This window comes from Homo sapiens, chromosome 4 (genome assembly GCF_000001405.40).
Source record: "Homo sapiens chromosome 4, GRCh38.p14 Primary Assembly".
Taxonomy (NCBI): domain Eukaryota; kingdom Metazoa; phylum Chordata; class Mammalia; order Primates; family Hominidae; genus Homo; species Homo sapiens.
In genome coordinates, this window is record NC_000004.12 from 114,801,113 (window position 1) to 114,821,249 (window position 20,137).

Consider the following 20,137-nt stretch of genomic DNA (forward strand, 5'->3'; position numbering starts at 1 on the left):
TCTAAGGTTTCTTATTTGGTGTTCACTTAATTAAAAGTATCATCGCTGCTGCTATAGTGATAGCAAAATATGAAGCTGTCTTGAAAACTTTGGTTAAAGGTCTTTATACATATAAAACCTGCATTTTGAGAAAACTTGCAATGAAGTTTTAATTCTAATAATTTGGTATTTCTTAGAAACAAAAATTAAGATATAGTATTTTTTTTCTTGTGACTAACTACCATGTGGCCCTTTGTGTGTACTATTGTATTAATATTAATAAAAGAATGCTATGTCTGGTTAAGTTTGATGGCTTAAAATATTAAGCATTGTGGTTTCCAAGTCTAAAGCATTTGATACTTGTACAACTAAGAATTGCAGAGAATGCTCAATTTCCCAAGTTTAGTTGTATAAAACCAGATTATTGACTGTGACAGCTCCACTCTATTAGATGGATCACATTTCTATATGGTAGACATCAGAATGGTGGGGGACTGTAGACTAGAATCCACAAATTGTACCAATCCTTGAAGATGTAGTAAAACATTTTAAAGGTATTATAATGCTAAAGCATGCTTTTTTTTTGCATTACTGTAGTCTGAAAAATAATTTGTTTTTGACTGATCACTTACTATATCAGATTAGAACAATTTTAGACCAAAATAATATTGATAAACCATTTAATCTTCTCTTTTTGTGTATATACATACACATGTCAGTTGAAAAGAAACTTAGCTAAACTTATAAAATAACCATTCAATTAAATTGAATTTTACTTGTATATCTTCTTTATTCCTGCCCTCTCTAATTTCTGCCCCATTTCCTGTCCTACTATCTGAGTCAAGTCACTTCTTATTTCTCCCAGAAAAACTTGTGCATAGTTTTATGAGAATTTCAACATTCTACATTGAAATTGACAGTTGTTTGTCTTTTCCTTTACTTTAAACAACTTGACAGAAGCTGTATATTTTTCATTAATCTTGTAATATTTTAATAACTCTATAAATACTTTTTAAGTTAATGAATAACAGTAGTGTATGTAAAGTTACAGCTGAAGTGTCAGTTGGCCTGAAAGTCTTCAGCCAAGTTTAAACACTTGTGGCTTTAACTTGGTGAGAGTCTGATGTACAAGAAATATTTCAGTTGATTAAAAAGGGAGATAATTTAGAATATTTGGCATCATATTGCATATTTAAATTAATGATGAGGGAACAATCAGATGGATACTGATTGGCTCATGTAGGTCAGCTTTACAGTTTTCATTCCTATGGTTTTGACCCAAGTCCAGAAAGATGTTTTGAAAGATTATATGGATAATTTCATCATTTACATTTATTTTCCTGGTTAGTCAAGCATAATGATATATCGTAAGAGTAGACCAATTAATTTTATATTGCTCATTTTTTATATTTTGGATAGCAGATCAATATAAGAATAGATTTACAAAAGAAATTATTAGGCTATTATGGCAATGGTCATAAAACAATTAGATATTATTAAATAAGTCATAATCATATATGCTTTATTGTTTGATATTTCATTATTTAAAATTATGGTTCGTGAAATGAAATATGACTTTAACTCATTTTTCATGATGTAACAACCATTTCACTCCATGATATTTAATCTTATGAATAGTAGTGTCTCCTTGTTAGAGAAAAAGATACTACAAAATGTAGATTTGAACTAGGATATTTTTCCAAATTCAATTCAATCAAGTTTGATTTAAAATAATTTAGTTTAGCAAATTTTTACTGAAAACTTAACATTATCTTTGGCATTGTTCTCTACACAGAGTACCTCTTAGTCCAGGCTTACTATTCAGAAGCATTTCTAAACCTTATTACTATCACTGAAAGATTTGTTTGCAGTATCCTAGCAATCTTATTATTGCTATAACAAAACTAAATGTATTTATTTACAAACATATCACTTTACTATTTGTAGTAAAACAACACTAAATAGCAGTAAGCTTTTTAGTGTGTAAAATTATCTATAAGATTTTGTAGGTAGAAAATAGAGGGTGACCTCACAAGCTCCTCCAGAAATGGTCTTAATGAATTTACTCACACTCTGTAAACCTCTCAGATATGTTTTCTTATTTACACTTACGTTGTAAAAGTTCTAGGGCTTTTTTCCTAATCATTAAATTTCAATGCTACATATAACAAAGAGATATTTAACAAATCTGAGTTTCATTAAGAATAAACATTTTGAATAATTAAATGAGAATATTTCTGAAAGCTCACTTTAGATTTATATGTCTCCCAAAGGATATAAAGAAACAAATCCATATGAACTCAAGTTACCTTAATGGAATGTGTCTTATTAACTTATTTTTATTTTATTATTTCTTTTACAGACAGGGTCTCATTCTGACACCCAGGCTGGAATGCTATGGTGTAATCATGGCTCACTGCAGCCTTGAACTCTGGGAATGAAGGTATCTTTTCACCTCAGCCTACACACTACCTTGGACTACAGGCATGCACCACCACATTCAGCTAATTTTATAGATTTTTTTGGTAGAGATAGGGCTTCACTATGTTGCCCAGGCTGGTCTAAAACTCCTGGCCTCAAGCAATCCTCCTACTTAGGCCTCCCAAAGTGCTTGGAATATAGACATGAGCTGCTGTGCCCAACATGTTTTATTAATTTAAAATACTATGTTCAATCAAGTCTTAATGATATAATTAAGAATGAGCTATGTCTATATGAGGGGAGAATATAACATTTTTTGATTTTCAATAATTTTCATCCAAGAAACTCAAGGAAATCAAAGAACTCAAAATAATTCTTTAAAGAAGGTCAGCAAACTACAAGAAAATACACAGAAACAATCCAATTAAATCAGGAAAATGACAAATTGCCAAAATAAGAAATAAAATAAAGAGATTGACATTACTAAAGAAAAATTAAACAGAAATTCTGAAATTGAAAAGTACAATGAATTAAATAAAAAAAATTAAAGGGCATCAATAGCAAAGTTGACCAGGAAGAAGATTCTGTGAACTTGGAGACAGATTATTTGAAAACATACAGTCAGAGGATTAAAAAACGGTGAAAAGGCATAAAGAACCTTATGAGATTTATGGAACTGGATCAAAAGAGAAGATATCCAAATTATAGGAGCTGAAGGAGAAGGAGAGATAAAGGAAAAAAAATTATGTTATGAAATACTAGCAGAAAACTCCCAAGTCTGCAGAAAATTATAAATTTCCAGGTACAGGAAGGTCAAAGGTCTCCAGTGTAATCCAAATTACAGTACATCAAAATATAATCAAACAGTCAAAAACCAAAGACAAATAAAGGATCCTGAAGGAGCAAGAGAAAAATAGAAAATGAAATATAAGGAAGTTCTGATAAGGTGAGCATCAGATTTCTCAGCAGAAATTTCTTGGTGCAATCATGGAAGGTCAAAGGTCTCCAGTCAGATTAAATTTAAATTAAACTACACTAAATTTTGTTGTTTTGAAGGTTTGTCAAAAAATTAAAAATAGAACTACCTTATGATCCAGCAGTCTCACTACTGGATATATATCCAAGAGAAAAACAAAACAGTGTGTCAAAGAGATATCTGTACTCTCATGCTCATGGAAGCATTTATTCACAGAGGCCAAGATATAAAATAAGCCTAAGTGTCCATCAACAGGTTAATGGATAAATGAAATGTAGTATAAATAATGTATGGATGCACATAATACAATTAATGAAATGAAAAATGAAATAAAGAACATCAATGGCAAAATTGATCAAGAGGAAGATTCTGTAAACTGAGAGACAGATTATTTAAAAAACATGCAATCAGAGGAGAACAAAGAGGGTGAAAAATGATAAAGAAGTTTATGGAATTTATTGAACAGCATCAAAAGAACAAATATCCAAATTAGAAGCATTCAACAAAAAGAAGGAATAGTATTCCTATTCAGTTCTAAAATAAAATACTCTTCAGCTTTAAAAAAGAAGAAAATCCTGTTATTTACAACAACATGGATGAATCCAGAATACATTATGTTAAATGAAAGAAGACACAGAAAGGCAAATACTGCATTATCTCACTTTCATGTAGAATCTGAAAGAGTTGACCTCATAGAAGTAGAGAGTGGCAGGGGCAGGGGTTGGGAGTGTTGGTCAAAGGATCCAAAATTTTAGTTAAGAAGAACAAGTTGAAGAGATATATTGCATAAAATAGCAACTGGAGTTATTATCAATGTATTGTATTTTAAAAAACTGCTGAGAGGATTTTTAAGTGTTTGTACTACAAAAAATAAGTATGTGAGATAATGTATATATCAACTGGCTCTATTGAGCCATTCTACACTGTTCATATATTTCAACACATTATGTTGTACATGACAATTATATACATTTTTAATTTGTCAATTGAAAATAAGTTAATTTTCAAAAGATACTAAACAAAATCAACTGCAAAACAAAATTTTTGAAAAAGAATCATAAAGTACCAAAACACAAAACAATTCAAAGATTTACATAGCTTTTTAATGGGAACAATAATTTTCTCACAATGAAAACTAACACCTTAGATATTACATGGGGGAAAAACATTCCTCATGCACTATATGTGATATATTACAAATAATAATACATGGAAAAATTTTGGGGACAATATAAAGACATCTCTATTTTATACATGTTATTATATATAAAATAAGACAAATAAAAAACAATAATTGTGATGGGAAGACTAAATAATTTAATGATATTATATTTTATGTATAATGCAGCTCCATACCAAACCTTTGCAGTAGAATTAACACGTTCATGTACTTAACTTAATGATGGTAAAATACTGTTGGATAATAAACAAGAAAATATTTAATACTTTTCAAAAATGAGAATAATTCTAACAATGTGAATTAAAAGATTGGTAAACAAAGGTTGATATTGGTACAGTAGATATTTCAGTAGAAGTGAATATGAGTTTGTATAATATAGTATTTGATAAAAAGTGGCATTAGTTCCAATTGAGGACCTAAAGGAAATAAATTTAGACAACTAGTATTACCTGCCATGTGAACTGGGGTTTATTGTGTAATAATGAGGAAAAAAGCACCATCATTCTTTCTGCAGAACCAAGTAGTGAAAAACATGACGATATTTGAGATATCCCCTTTCAAAACAAAATAAGTCTAATACATGTATAGAATAATGCACTTGGAACAATTTTATTAACATGAAGGAAAACTAACTTGTTTAATAAAATTGCTATTTTCTATAATCATACAGCTGCAGAATGGTGTCAATATACATAAATATACCCTAAATTAAATGTGTGCTTCTAATCATATGTGGATCAGTCAATAAAATATAACAGATATACAAGCAAAATGTTTGCTATGTATTTGGTTGTGAAGGATAAATAAGATTTTGGTTACATATTTAGTTTCTTAATACTAGGAAAAGTGATACTTAGCATAATTTTACTGATATACCCTGTTAAAATTTCCCTATGATTTACTATCTCCAAATTTCTTGTTCAATCCTGGAGTTCTACAATGATCGTTGTGATAGAAGATACTATACCACTTCTTTTTTTTTTAAATAAGGATGACTAGGGATATTGGATGCCAGTTCTCCTCAGAGAGAAGATCAAAGTGCAGGTGAATGGTCATGATCTGAGTGGAAGGCTGAAGGAAGAGGTCCAGGACCTGTTGGACAGCCCATGGAAAGAAGCTGGAGGACAGAAAAGGAAAGCAGCAAGAGTCTAGCAGGGATGGACCACTGAGGAACTCAGAGTCCCGTGGAAAGGGTAGGTGGCGGTATTTCTCTGTGTGCTCCCCGCACCCCTGTGACAATCTACTGACTGCCAAATTGTTTGGGAGCCCCTCTACCCTTATGTTCCCAGGTAAACCTTTTGGTGACAATTTGGGAACTTCTCAGGGATAGAGCACCAAGTGGCCAGCTCCTGAAGGTGTGCTGGCGCTCCCCTCAGGCCTGAACTGAGATGGTGGGCACTATACTGACTCTGCACCCATTGTGGGTGAGTGCCTTACCTGGGAAACCTCAGCCCTTGTTTTGCTGCATCATCAGACACACCATAAACACACCCTAGAACCTGCTCTGACTTTGGCAACCATGGGGCATTAGTGGGTCTCTGGGGAGCGGCAGAATCCCTGGAGATCTAGTGGCAGAATCTCTGGGCAGCCTCAACACGGGCTGCTTCCAAGGGAGTGGGTAGCACAACCTGCCAAAGCCTCTCTTGGGACAAAAGAAACATGGGCACGGCATCAATAGCTGAAGGGGGTGTAACAAATGGCCAGAAATGAATACTGAGGGGAGGTTCTCTCCCACTCCTCCCAACCACTGTCGCAGACACAACAGAGACTTTACTTGCTGGAGGCTGACACGAGTGCATTTTTACTTGTGAGACAGCCTTTTCAGCACTTTTTGTGCCGGCTGCGCCCCCATTGAAAGTTAGCCCGTGCTGCATGGGCTTGCATGAAGGGTGGACCCATTTCCCCGACCTATATAGAGCAGCAGTGTCTGGGCAATGGAGAGCAGAGAAACCGCACAGCTGTCTGCTCTGGAATGGAGGAAGAGGCTCTGCATTGAGCCCATTTTGTGGGTAGCCACCAGAGGAGGATTTCGGGGGACCTCAGTTGCACTGCAGCTGGTAGCCAAAGGACAATGTCAATATTAATCAAAGGTCGCAAGCCCTGTAACAGGAGTTTGATGGGGAAGAAGATCGCATTCCTCTCTGGCCAGAACAAGGACCTGGTGCATCCACCCTCACACCGCCTCTTCCTCACCCAACCCGTGGGACCTCAGTGTATCCCAACACAATCTCACCCTGCTATCTCTCCTCAACCTCCATCAGGGCAGGTGCTTCCGTGCATTATTGGGCTGCCCCAGGGCAAGCTGGCGCTTACTCTTTTACGCCACCTACTGGAAGGTAGACTGAACTGCACCACCGAATAAGAAACCTTTCAAGCATAGGCTGGCGCACAAGATCAGCTTCCTGAGACTTTCGCACTCTCAGCCCTGTAGAAAACAGTGTGTCAGATCATATATCTAATCTTTTGCTACAACAAGCGGCATTTAAGAAAGCCACGGCACAAAAGCTATCCATAACTAAGGAACCCATACAGAACCCTGGCCTTCTGAAAATACCCAGAAACAAAGCCAAACAATCGTACACAACATACACTACAATCATATGCTCAAGGAAAAAACAAATAAACGAAAGTCTCATCCAAACAATAGCAAATTCAAAAATACTAAGCAAGAGCTTTTTTAGATGAGAAGGAATCAATGCAGTAACTCTGGAAGAACAAAGAGTCAGGGTGTTTTGACACCTCCAAAAGATTGCATCAGCTTTCTAGCAATGGATTCTAACCAAAATGAAAATTCTTAAATGACAGATAAAGAATTCAATATATAGATTGCAAAGAAGTTCAATGAGATGCAACAGAAAGTTAAAAGCCAACACACACACAAAAAAACAGAAAAAATGATTCAGGATATCAAAGATTAAATAGTTTATAGCTTTATACATATAAAACAACATATATAAAAAACACTTCTGAAATTACATATACTTTATAATTATTATATATAATAATTATTGAATATTACAGTTTTAAATTATATATAATTGAAAAAATTATTATATATAATATGCATATTGAAAGAAACTAAATATTATTATTGTATATATTATGATATATGTATATTGAAAGAACTGAATGAAATTAGAACTAATAAAATCATAGATAGAATTAACAAAACAAAAAGTTGGCTTTTTTGAAAGGATAAAATTGATAGACTGCTTACTAGATTAACCAATAAAAAAGAGAAGATTCAAATAAGGACAATCAGAATTTATAAAGGTGGCATTAGAACTGACACCACAGAAATACAAAAGATCACTATAGACCTCTATGGAGATCTCTAAGTACACAAACTAGAAAACCTAGAGGAAATGAATTCCTTGAAACATATAATCTTCCAATGTTGAACCAGAAGAAAACTTGAAATTCTCTACAAATAACATGTTATGAAATTAAATCAGTAATAAAAATAACTACTAACCAAAAAAGCTCAGAACCAGATGAATTAACAGCCAAATTCTGCCTGACATACAAAGAGCTGGTACCAATCTTTCTGAAACTATTCCAAAATATTGATGAGGAAGGATTCCTCTCTAATTCATTTTATGAAGCCAGTATCATCCTGATACCCAAATCTGGCAAGGACACAACAACAATAACAAAAAAACACAGGCCAATATTCCTGATGAATGTAGATGCAAAAATACTCACCAAAATACTAGCAAACCAAATCCAACAGCACAGCAAAAAGATAAGTTATTACAATCAAGTAGGTTTTATTCTAGGGATGCAAGTTTGGTTCAACATACGTAAATCAGTAAATGTGATTCACCACATAAACATAAATTAAAACAGAAACCATGTGATCATCTCAGTAGAAGCAGAAACAGCATTTAGTAAAATCCAGCATCCTTTTCTGATAAAATCCCTCAACAAACTAGGCATTGAAGGAATATACCTAAAAATAATAAGAGCTGTCTATGATAAACCCACAGCCAACATGATACCGAATGGGGAAAAGTTGAAAACGTTCCTGATAAGAACTGAAAAAAGACAAACATATCCACTGTCACTACTCCTATTCAACATAATACTAGAAGTCTTAGATAGAACAATCAGGGAAGGGAAATAAAAAGCACCCAAACTGGGACAGAAAGAATCATATTAACTCTGTTACAGATGACATGATCTTATACCAAGAAAATCCTAAAGATTCCTTGAGAAGATTCCTAGACTGGATAAACAACTGCAGTACATTTTCGGAATGCAAAATTAGTGTTCAAAAATCTGTTGCATTTCTCTAAGTTGACAAGGCAGAAGCTGAGAAACAAATCAAGACCTCAATCCCATTTACAATAACTACACACACACACACACACACACACACAAACATAGGAATACATTTAACTAAGCAGGTGAAAGATTTCTGCAAGGAGAGCTAAAAAACTGATGAAAGAAACCATGGATGATAGAAACTAATGGAAAAAAAATCCCATGATCATAGATAGGAGGAATCAATATTATTAAAATGACTATATTGTTCAAAGCATTCTACAATTCAATGTAATTCCTATCAAATTACCAGCACCATTTTTCTCTGATTTAGAAAAAACAATTCTAAAATTCATATGGAATTGAAAAAGAGCCTGAATATCCAAAGCAATCCTAAGCAGAAAGAACAAAGCCAGAGGCATCACATTACTTGACTTCAAATTATATTACAAGTCGAAAGTAACCAAAACAGCATGGTACTGTTACAAAAATAGACACATAGATCAATGGAACAGAATAAAAAATCCCAAATAAAAGCCACATATCTACAACCAACTGATCTTAGACAAAGTCAATAAAAGTGAATAATGAAGATGGGACCCCCTATTCAATAAATGGTGCTGGAAAAATTGGCTAGCCATATGCAGAAGAAGGAAGCTAGACCTTTATCTCTTACCATATATAAATAATTAACTCAAGATAAATTACAGTTTTAAATGTAAGACCTGAAACCTAAAACTTCTAGAAGCAGACCTAAGAAAATCTCTTCCAGATATTGGCCTAGGCAAATAACTTATGACTAAGACCTCAAAAGCAAATGCAACAAAAATAAAAATAGACCAATGTGACTTAATTAAAATAAAGAACTTCTGCACAGCAAAAGAAACTATTGGCAGAGTAAACCGACAATCTATAGAATGGGAAAATATATTAGCAAATTATGCATCTGACAAAAGACTAATATCCAGAATCTATAAAGAACTTCAACAGATCAACAACGAAAAAAATCCCACAAATAATCCCATTAAAAATGGGCAAAGTATATGAACAGACACTTATCAAAAGAAGACATACAAGTGGCCAAAAAACATAAAAATTGTTCAACAACAATTGCTCAAACTAATTTACTTTCTTATTTGTTTATAAGTGTTTTTAAAACATTAAAGAAGAAAACAGAATTTTTTGTAGCTTTTCAATTGTATCTTTTACTTGTTTTATTTTTATATATAATTCTTTTAAATTAAATTATTGATTGATAGATTATTACTTGTTAAATCACGTATGGAAAATAACTATCACCAATACCAACTAAAATAAATGTCATTTGTTTAATCATGTAAATGCTATGTTTAAACTTTTATCTATCTCTTTTTACTTGTTTTACCATTGAATTTAATGATTTGGATTCTTTCTTTTTTCTCATCTGAATCTGAAACCCGAGCTATGCAGCAGAACTCTAGCCTTTGGGAAAATTGGTTACCATCAGTGTGACTGAGAGTAGCTTCCAGGTCACCAATCCAGTCCTCTTTAGTTTCCTCCTAGAAAGACAATTAACAAACAAAATAACCGCCTTCTAAAATTTAACAACAAAAAATTTAACGACTGAAAAATAAAGCATCTTATTTTGCAACCCTCTTCTGTTTCTTTCCTCGGGCTCTTTGAGATATGAGGAGCATCTCTTGTCTTCCTGGGTTCTGCTTCTCCTCCAGGGTTCTGCTTCTCCTCCAGGGTTCCTAATCCTTAAAAATCCTCCACTTGTTCTGGCTGGTCATGCCTCAGGGCCTCCTCTGACTATGTCGTGAATAATTAGGCTGACTTCTGGGACTTTCCTTGTGTTTTTCTTGGCTTAATCATGATACAAGCTTTCTATAACCAGTACCTAAATGCAGTCTTTTAACATGGCCCACATGACCACCGTTTTCCTATGCTGTTTCTTGCTGAATCCAATACAGCTTTTCTTACTTGGTTTCTCTGTGAATCCTGGCTTTCTGTAATTCTGGTGGGATATATCCTAGAAGTTTCTGCCTTTAAAAAATGTTGTAAAGGGAAATTGGAAACAATACAATTGGCACCCTTATTGGAACAGTGAAGAGGTCTGCAATAAATCTGTAGAACTTATTGCTGCAGCTTTGAAGCTTTGAAACAGGCCAATTTACTTTCCTTTCTGCAGGGTCTAATTCATTAGACTCCCACTATAAAAGTTTTATTGGAGAAGTTGAATCATAAAGTCAACCAGAAAGAAAGGATTTGGTGATAAGTGGTATAAGTGTCATAATGCAAAGAATAAAATGCTACGCACAAAATAAAAGCATTTATTTACTGCTTTTAGAAGTGAAACAGCTTGAAAAAGACAAGACTGCATTCCCAGTGATGATAAATTTCTGTTTCGCAAACTTTACAATGGTTTGGCAAAGTGGCAGGCCTGCTGTATTGGAGACATGATTACTATATCTGTACCACTATAACACACACATACATACACACACACACACACACATATATAAGCATACATTTTTGTGTGAATGTGCATATATGTGTGTATGTATTTCATATACATATATATAGACATATTATATATATACACTATATATAATATATGTATGTTCTAACTAGGGCAGAAGACTTGATTTGGAAATCAAGAAATTGCTCCCTCTTTTCTAGTGGGGTAGATATAAATCTCCTCCCCACATGCTTCTTACTTAGCAGATAGGTTTGATTAAGATGACTATCTGAATTATAAATAAATGAATACTTCTAAAAAATAAAGGTAAAACCAATAAATTGGTTTGTTGGTTGACAAATGGATAATCAACCAACCAATCAAATATTAGTTATAATATCCTGTCAATGGTTATACTCTCTCTCTGTCTTTTATTTTATACTAAATATCATATTCTTTAGAACTGGAAAGGAACAAAAGGCTAGGATTTTAGACTTTTTTGATGATTTTCTGGAAAACTCCAATTATGTCTATTCTTGAAGACTTAAAAATATGTGGTTACTTCTCCAAGCATCTCATTCCAATACCCTATTTACTAGAAAATATTTTCCTATTAAAGTATTTTAATAGGAAACACTAAATATTTTTTCTATTTCCTATTAAAAGAAAATTTGCCTTTCTATAACTTCTGTTCTTTTATGCAGCAGGTTCTTGATATCAATATGTTCTCAAAACCTATTCTTCACTTGCTATGACTTCATTTCCCTTGTCTACACACAAACTTTTGTTAAAAAACAGTTCAATTTTTTTCATGTGCTCCTCATTTGTTACGGTTTCCTGATCCTTCACCATCCTGTTTTTTTTTAAATTCATCTTTTTATTAATATCTGTTGAGAGCCTAATATAATGTGCCAGAGAGCTCCAGGCATAGGAAAAGCAGCAGGGAATAGAAGAGAGTCCTTTTCTCATGGAGTTGATAAGATAGAGGAAGCATAAAAATAATCAAGAAAACCCTCATATGTCAGTTGTTGGTAAGTGGTAGGGAGAAGAATTAAGCAAGAAGAGTAGATGAAAGTATAATGATGCAGGAGTCTGGGAAGACCTGCCTGACAAGGTGATATTTAAACAAAGACTTGAAGGAAGAGAGAGGATGAGCGATGCATATATCTAGGGAAACTTTGTTTATGCATAGAACAGAGAATGTGAAGGCTCTGGGATAGAGCCTGCTTAGCATGTTCAGAGAAATCTAAGGATGCTGGTGTTGACTGAAGATGGTCAGTTGAGGGGGAAGTGATAGGAAAATTGGTCAAAGAATTTCTCTGGTTGTTATGGAAACTAGTCTGTAGGACCTCAAGTTTTAAGTAGAAAAAGCTATTAGTTTATTTTGAAAAAGATGGTGGGGTCTTGAATTAGCATAGCAGAGTTGGAGATGACAGGAATTTCTTAGAGTCTGAGTAGTCTTGGAGATAAAGCTGACAGGATTTGTCAATAGACGAAGGTTGTGGGAAGAAAGAGATCATGGCTGACTGAAGTTTTTAGCCTGGACAAATGGACTTGTTCTTTCTGGAAATGAGTAATCCAGTTGTCTTAGTTCAGAAAAGTACTAAAGTTGGGCTATAATTCTTTAACACCTTACTCTTTCATAGTGTAAACTTCACCCAAGAATTTTTTATGTCCTAGGTGTGATCTGTTCAGTACAAAATAAAGCAATCTTTTTTATGATGATTTATTGTTATTTTTTCTCATGATCTAGATGCACTGTTATTAGTGGACAGTGATATTGCATCATCGTTTATGGATGTCTACTATTTTTCATGTTGAGTTTACCTTTAAACTAAATCTTGGTCTCATTTTCAACCCCAATCTGTGGGGCAGCAGATAGATAGCTGTTTATCAAATATGTATGCCATTCTTCTTTTCAAACAGCTCTACTACAGTTCTCAGCCTCTGTTGTAGTGAAGAGTAGCCAAATGACTGAATTCTAGACAATGGAACATGGGCAGAAGTGATGAACATGACTTCAAAGCTTACCTTTCAAAAATCTTTCACTCAGAAAGCCTCCACTCTTTTCTCTCCATAAGGCTTTCTCATTGACACAAGATAATCCAGGAAGATTTTCAAGGCAGATTCTCTGTGTAGAGGAAAACGGTTCTCTCTTCCACTATTTGGAGTATATGTGAAAGAAAAAAAAATGATCTTTTGAAAAATGATACTGCTAAGAATTTGGTATTAATCCATTACAGCAGCTAGTAGCACCTTAACTAATTTGAAAATTGGTAGCTTAAGAAGGGATGTTATAAACAAAGGTTAATATTTGCAACATTTCCCAGCAGTGGGAGTGGCTGCTAATGAGAACACCGAAATGAGAGATTGGATATTTGTGGCAAAACATTGGTGAAATTGTCATTTATGATAACTTGAAAAACAGACCAAATGCCTCCAAGATTGTATTTCTATGGAGAAAGCTACAGGATAGGATGTTTTTTATTTGTAATAGAAGATATTAGAAGAAAGAGATGGGCTCGCCCAAGAATTAGTTGATTTTGCAGGCAAATATAAAATGAAATAAATACTCCAGATATCTGAGGCCTCAAAAGTTTGAAAAATCTGAATTCTCCTAAACCTCAATGATACAATATTGAGAGAAGACTTTAGTTTAAAGGCCTCATTAAGATTCAGCCTTTTGAAAAGAGTAAAATTGAATATTACTTTTACATTTAAGCCTGGTGCCTCTGAAGGCTGCCATTAAATTGAGGAAGGAAGAGAGCTCCAGAGACAGAGAGAGGGAGTAACACAGAGAGAAGGAATGACTGGTGCAAGAAAATGATGGAAAAAAGCAGATACAAGAACCAGGGTTTGGAAGATGATGACTGGCCCACAGAACTAGTGGAGGCAACTAGATTAGATACCTACTAAGTTTTTGAGGTAAGTGTAGTGGCAAAGAAATCATAAGTCCAGATTATAAGGGAAAATGCTCCTAGAGGATAGAGATGGTCATCACTAGCAGCTCTAAATCACCAAACTCCAGATCACCAAATGATCAAGGGAACTCCTTTCAGAGAGCAAAACCAGCTCTAATAAACAAAACAAGTTTCCACTGCAGGCATCCCCTGCCTTGCCAGCAGAAACACATAATAATTACTGTCTATTAACAACCGTGTGTTACCTAGTCTTCCAATTTCCAAATGGGAATGTCTACTGTGGTTATCGTGCCCCTGGTCCACCATTGTATACCTGAGAGAAGATGATCTGCCCATGGATTGCTAGCCCACAAAAAGCCATACCTGGACCTGATGAAGAGGCTGACGTATAACTCAAAGATTTTCTACGTTGAGCTGAATGAAGTGGACAGACAGGATTTTGTGCTGTTTTCCTTGAGGAAGGGATGAATGTGTTCTATGTGTGGAAGAATGTAATGGATATTTGGTGACTAGAAGGGTGGACTAGGACAGAGAATGTCTAGCTATTTATCAAACCTATTTCCTTTTCCTTTTGGCATACAGCTAGACTACATTTCCCAACCTCCCTTCAGTAAAGTCTGCCTTATAATCAAATTCTGGTCAATGTTGTGTGTTTTAGAGTGCCATGAATCATTCTGAGGTCCATAAAATACTCCCACTTTCTGATTCCCACTTTCCATGTCTTGCAGGCTGGTCAAAGTCTAGAGTGACAGTGAAAGCTACATTTGCGTTTGAGGACAACAGAGCCTAGAGCAGCTTGATTTTCTAAATAACAACATGGAGCAAAATTTCCTCCCTTGCCCATTCCTCTTCCTTACTGATTAGATTTTTATGTGAGTGAAAAATAAACTTTGATTGTGTCAGGCTATAGCTTTAAAAATTTATCTTTTATAAAGGATACTAGTTTGAAAAATCTTTACTAAAACTATAGTACTTGGTTAGTTGGGTTTTTGAACCTAAGACAAATTATTTATGCTGAATCCAGATCATAACATTGCCTGAGATTTATATATCTTCCAATATTTTCCATATACAATTTTCTTAACGATAAATTTCAGATCAGGGCCCATAAACCCTAATGCCTTCAGCATCTAGACAGTTATAAATGGAAAATAGAAGGCAGTACATCCCAGGGAACTAGAGAGAACATGCCCTACCTAAAAGCAATACAGTAATTTAAAAAACCTACTGGCTAGTGTACTCCAAAGACTGCAATATTGGGACCTTTGATTTGGTTCTTTATTTGAATATTTTAATAAAAATTTTCTTGCACAAAACTGAAGAGTAAGCCACTCAAATTTTCTTTTTAGACAAACATTTATTCATTAACCATATTCTTTGAGTATGCTATTTCAACTGTTTGCCAGTTTACTGAACTTCATTAGTTTGTGGTTCATATTTCTCTTACTCATTTATAAAGATATCAAGAGAAACATTGGCTCATGGCTGCTGAAATCCAGAAAGATGATTTACTTACATCTACATATTTGGGGCTTCAAATGTTTGAAATATCTGAAGGCCATCAACATATGAATCACATAAAGAATTTGGACATTCTGTCTCATCTCGATTTATTCACTCAGATTTCAGGGGAGATGGAACTGTGAATCCAGATTCTTGACCAGCTCCATAAGCAATTCTTACGATTTAGTTCCTCTGATTTATTGTATTTTTCTAATCTAGAATTCTAGCATGTAAAATTAGATAATGTTTACTATAAAATGACTGCGTCTTTAAATTAAAAGTTGCCAATCTCTTTTTTTGTAAAAGATCCCACAGTGAGTATTTAGGCTTTGCAGCCTACCCACAGTTTCTGACTCATATTCTTCTTATTTTGAATATTTTTAACATTCGTTTAAAAATATAAGTCTATTAGTTCATGAATTGTATGTATAAAAAGAGGCTCTGGCCCATGGGCCATGGTTTGCTGGTATGAATTCTCTTCAAGATGTCTATGTACCTTTCTTTAAATGAATGGTTCCTAACTTGTACTCCGTGAAATTGTACCCCTGAAGGATGTATAAGCCAACAATTCTCATTCAAATTATTGGTGGAAGTACTGTACATTATTTCATCCTTATGGAGATTTGCCAAGTAAATCAACATAGTAAATGTTCATATATAAAGATTAGAGTTGTCTGGCCAATTAGCTCCATTTTTAGCAGTACTTTTTGAATATAGAATCCTTTTCTTTCTCCACAAAGTTCTCATTAATGTCTTTAAAATTTAATGTTAAATCATATGTGTTGAAGAACAGTTGAAGAATTTTAGTGTCTGTAAAATACTTTTGGGAAATTTCAAACACTCTTTTCCAGGATCTTAAAATCTTGCCCATGAGTAAATATTGTTAAGTTTAATAGTTTATAGTATACAGAAGATACTTTTTAAAATCCACTTTCAAAAATAAGTTGATATTTTTAAATCTCTGGTTTTAAAAAACTTTTTTCTTGTCCATTACTCCTCAGTAATAGCACCTAAACAGATTTATGCTGTTCTTTTTCCATATAATGATCTACATTGCAGGTTTTCTCAATGGTCCGTCCTTTATAGGCAACTTTAATTTAGTAACAGTTCAGTTTTCTATTTAATTTCTTCAGTAATTCACCTTAAACTTTGGGTTCACTTATTGGTACTCTATCTTTAAGCTCTTATTCTCAGTGTTTACTCAGGAAAAAATGAGATTCAGAATTCCATAATTTGGTCAACCATGTAAAAATAGTTGACAGAATTAAAATTTTAAAATACTTATATATCACAGGTAATCATCTTGTTATTGCCTTGTTATTATCTATAACTATCTTGTGGTTATAGAATCTTACATTTTTAAATATACTTAATCTTATATATATTTAATTTTATATGAAGCCAACACATTTGGAACATATTTTTAAAAACATGTATTTTGTGTCTATAAACAGAAATGCAAAAAGTAAATAACTACAGCGAACACTTTTAAAGTAGTTGCTATGTGGTAGCTACTGTTCTAGGTGCTTTTATGTATTTTAACTCATATAATCCTCACAATAGCCCCAAGGGATAGGTGCTATTATTGTTTGCAATGTAAAGATACAGAAATAGTAACACAGTGAGGGTAAGCAATGTGCCTGAGACACACCACATATTTAGTAAATGGTAATGTCAGAATTGGAACTGTCACTCTGGCTTCAGAAGTCCATACACTGTGTTATGTTGCACTCTGCTTCTTCCAGTTGAAAGCATTTTAAATAATTTGAAGGACCTTGTTGTTGAAATCGCAGGGGCTTGATACGAGTTGGTTCATTTCAGAGACTAGCACAAAAACTGATAAATCCTTGCATTATTTATTTTGATTGAAGGTAGTTGAGAATTCTGTGTTTGTATGTGTATCACCTGTGACAAAGGCACTATAACTTTTGTTATCTAAGTCTATTGCCTTATTTCTTTTAGCTTTGCCATGCTGCTGAAATGGGATCCAAGTGGCCTCAGAGTCTCATCTACAGGGAACATTACCAATCTCTTCAAGACATAATTACAGGCTTACATATGCTTAATTTAATTAACAGGTTAAAGACTTCTGTGTAAAAACTCTGTGATTTCCAGGCAACATTCTGGAAGCAGCAAGAGAGAATTACAATTGATCTGGACTTGAGAGTTTCATGTATAGACTGCTCTCTGGAGGTACAGAGAGAAAAGCAAGTCTACAGCTTCACTCTGTAGAGTGAAGAGAGCTTATTTTAGATAACCCAGACAAAGCAAAGTCTGTACATTTTTCATCTCAAATGCCAAGTGGGTTACTACAAGCCCATCACCCTCAACACTCCCCACCACATACTGCTCTATCTTTGACTTGTGATCTATTCTCATCAGCAAACAAGATGGGAGAAAAATAAAAATACATTCAAGGTAAGATTTGCTCCCCTGACACACCCTCATTTGGATATATATGTGTCCTGGTTCATGTACCAAGATGCCACCTCTTGCTCTGGGTCAAAAGAAGTTGATGTTTCTTCCTGCTTTTCTGAAAACATTGCTGATAATTGTACAACTCATAGTAATTTTTCTCTCCTACACCAACACATGTGATCTGGAAATGGCCATCAGGGGTCATAGGAATGCAGTCATGATTCTTTTGTATTCTTGTGCATTGGTTCCTGGTTTCTCGTTTCTGCTGTGTATCCTTACTGTGTTGCTAGTGTTGTATTGTTGGCATATTATTAAGATTTCTGAAAAGACTTATGAAATTTAAGGATATGAGAATGGAGCCTTAAATAATTCAGAATATTCTAGAAATAATCTTGTTTACATAGATACATCTGATTATGTGGGGATATTTTAATTCCACTTGAATTCAAATGAAAAAGTGCCATAGCTTTCTGGCATAACAATTTCACCTATCCTTTTTCTTGGCAGGGTTTACACAGACATTTTAAACATATCATTAAACAATTAGCATTATTCTCTTTGTCAGTAGAAAAAAATATATAAAACTCAAGAGCCTCAATAGTCAAATGCTAAGACAGTGATCTTTCATTCCCTTCAATAAGTTGAACTCTTTTTAATTCTAAGGCATGCACTGTCACCACACTAATTGCATTGTAGATAGCTCTTAGCTTTGCTCTGATTATTAACAAATATATTTGTAGGAAAAAAAATGCTGTGAGATCTTTAAATTAATACAAAAGAGCAATATCTGATGTAGTTAAATTTTTATGTGTTTAGAGTTGCTTAAATTTGTCTGTTTGGCAAAGTGGGAGCATGATCTTATTAAGCCAGAATAGGTGATTCAGATATACACACATAAAGACTCACAGAAAACAGTCAATACTCCTAAACCCAAACATCCTTGAAAGTGTATATTTTGAGCCTGTGAATGAGAGAATGACAGTAATTTTTTATGCTTAGAAATTGAATTTAATATCCCACCAGTGTAAAAATATAAGATCATTTAACACTCACTTTACTTATTTTGTGCCAGATACTGCGTTCTGCATGAGAGATCCAAAAATGAAAAGACAGTGCTCCTTTTTATAACTTACATTTTATCATATAGATAGACATGTAAAAAACTACGGTACAATATATGTTCAACAATAATGGTATAATGGAAGAATATCAAATCACCTTCTGGGATTATGGTTTAAATATATTATCATTAATACCCAAATATTGATGGCCTAATGCCAAGGGAACCGGGAGATTTCTGAAACTACTTTAAGCTGGAGATCCATGTGAAATCTTGTAAAGTTTAGAGGCTTGATATTTCTGTATTTTAGATACAAAGGAATAGGGGGGAAAAGGAAGTGGACTTTCACAGCTAGGTTGCTTGAGGTCCAGTGTTAATTATGTAAGTGAATCAGCAACTCCAGTTCATACAGGAAATTGATTGAGGAAGGGACAAATAAGTGTTCTAGGCAGCGTCACTTACAAAGGCCTGGAGATGTAAAAATTATAGTAATTGGAGAATTGCAAATGGTTTGTTGCTACTAGAATTTGGAATGTAATTTTTAAGAGATTGCAAAATAAAAAATAATAATAATAAAAAGAATAGTCTGGGCTGGGTGCGGTGGCTCACACCTGTAATCTCAGCACTTTGGGACGGCCAGGCAAGTGGATCATCTGAGGTCAGGAGTTCACTGCTACCAGCCTGGCCAACATGGTGAAACCTCGTCTCTACTAAAAATACAAAATATTAGCCAGGCGTGGTGGCAGGCGCCTGTAATCCCAGCTACTTGGGAGGCTGAGGCAGGAGAATCACTTGAGCCTGGGAGGCAGATGTTGTGGTGAGCCCAGATAGCACCATTGCACTCCAGCCTGGGCAACAAGAGCAAAACTCTGTCTCAAAAAAAAAAAAAAAAAAAAAAGAAAAAAAAAGAAAAGAAAAGAAGAAAGAAAAGACTAGTCTGGTATACAAGACCTTAGCTCATAAAACACTTCAT

General features: G+C 34.2%; 3 annotated features.

Moving 5' to 3' along the window:
* Positions 6,604-6,653: an enhancer, noted in NCBI's record as "active region_21841". NCBI's record gives its function as "activates an Ori minimal core promoter by ATAC-STARR-seq in GM12878 lymphoblastoid cells {active_cell/tissue: GM12878}" and the evidence as "EXISTENCE:reporter gene assay evidence [ECO:0000049][PMID:35858748]".
* Positions 6,764-6,967: a silencer, noted in NCBI's record as "fragment chr4:115729032-115729235 (GRCh37/hg19 assembly coordinates)". NCBI's record gives its function as "represses an EF-1alpha promoter that drives an FKBP-Casp9 reporter gene in an ReSE screen in K562 erythroleukemia cells {active_cell/tissue: K562}" and the evidence as "EXISTENCE:reporter gene assay evidence [ECO:0000049][PMID:32094911]".
* Positions 6,984-7,033: an enhancer, noted in NCBI's record as "active region_21842". NCBI's record gives its function as "activates an Ori minimal core promoter by ATAC-STARR-seq in GM12878 lymphoblastoid cells {active_cell/tissue: GM12878}" and the evidence as "EXISTENCE:reporter gene assay evidence [ECO:0000049][PMID:35858748]".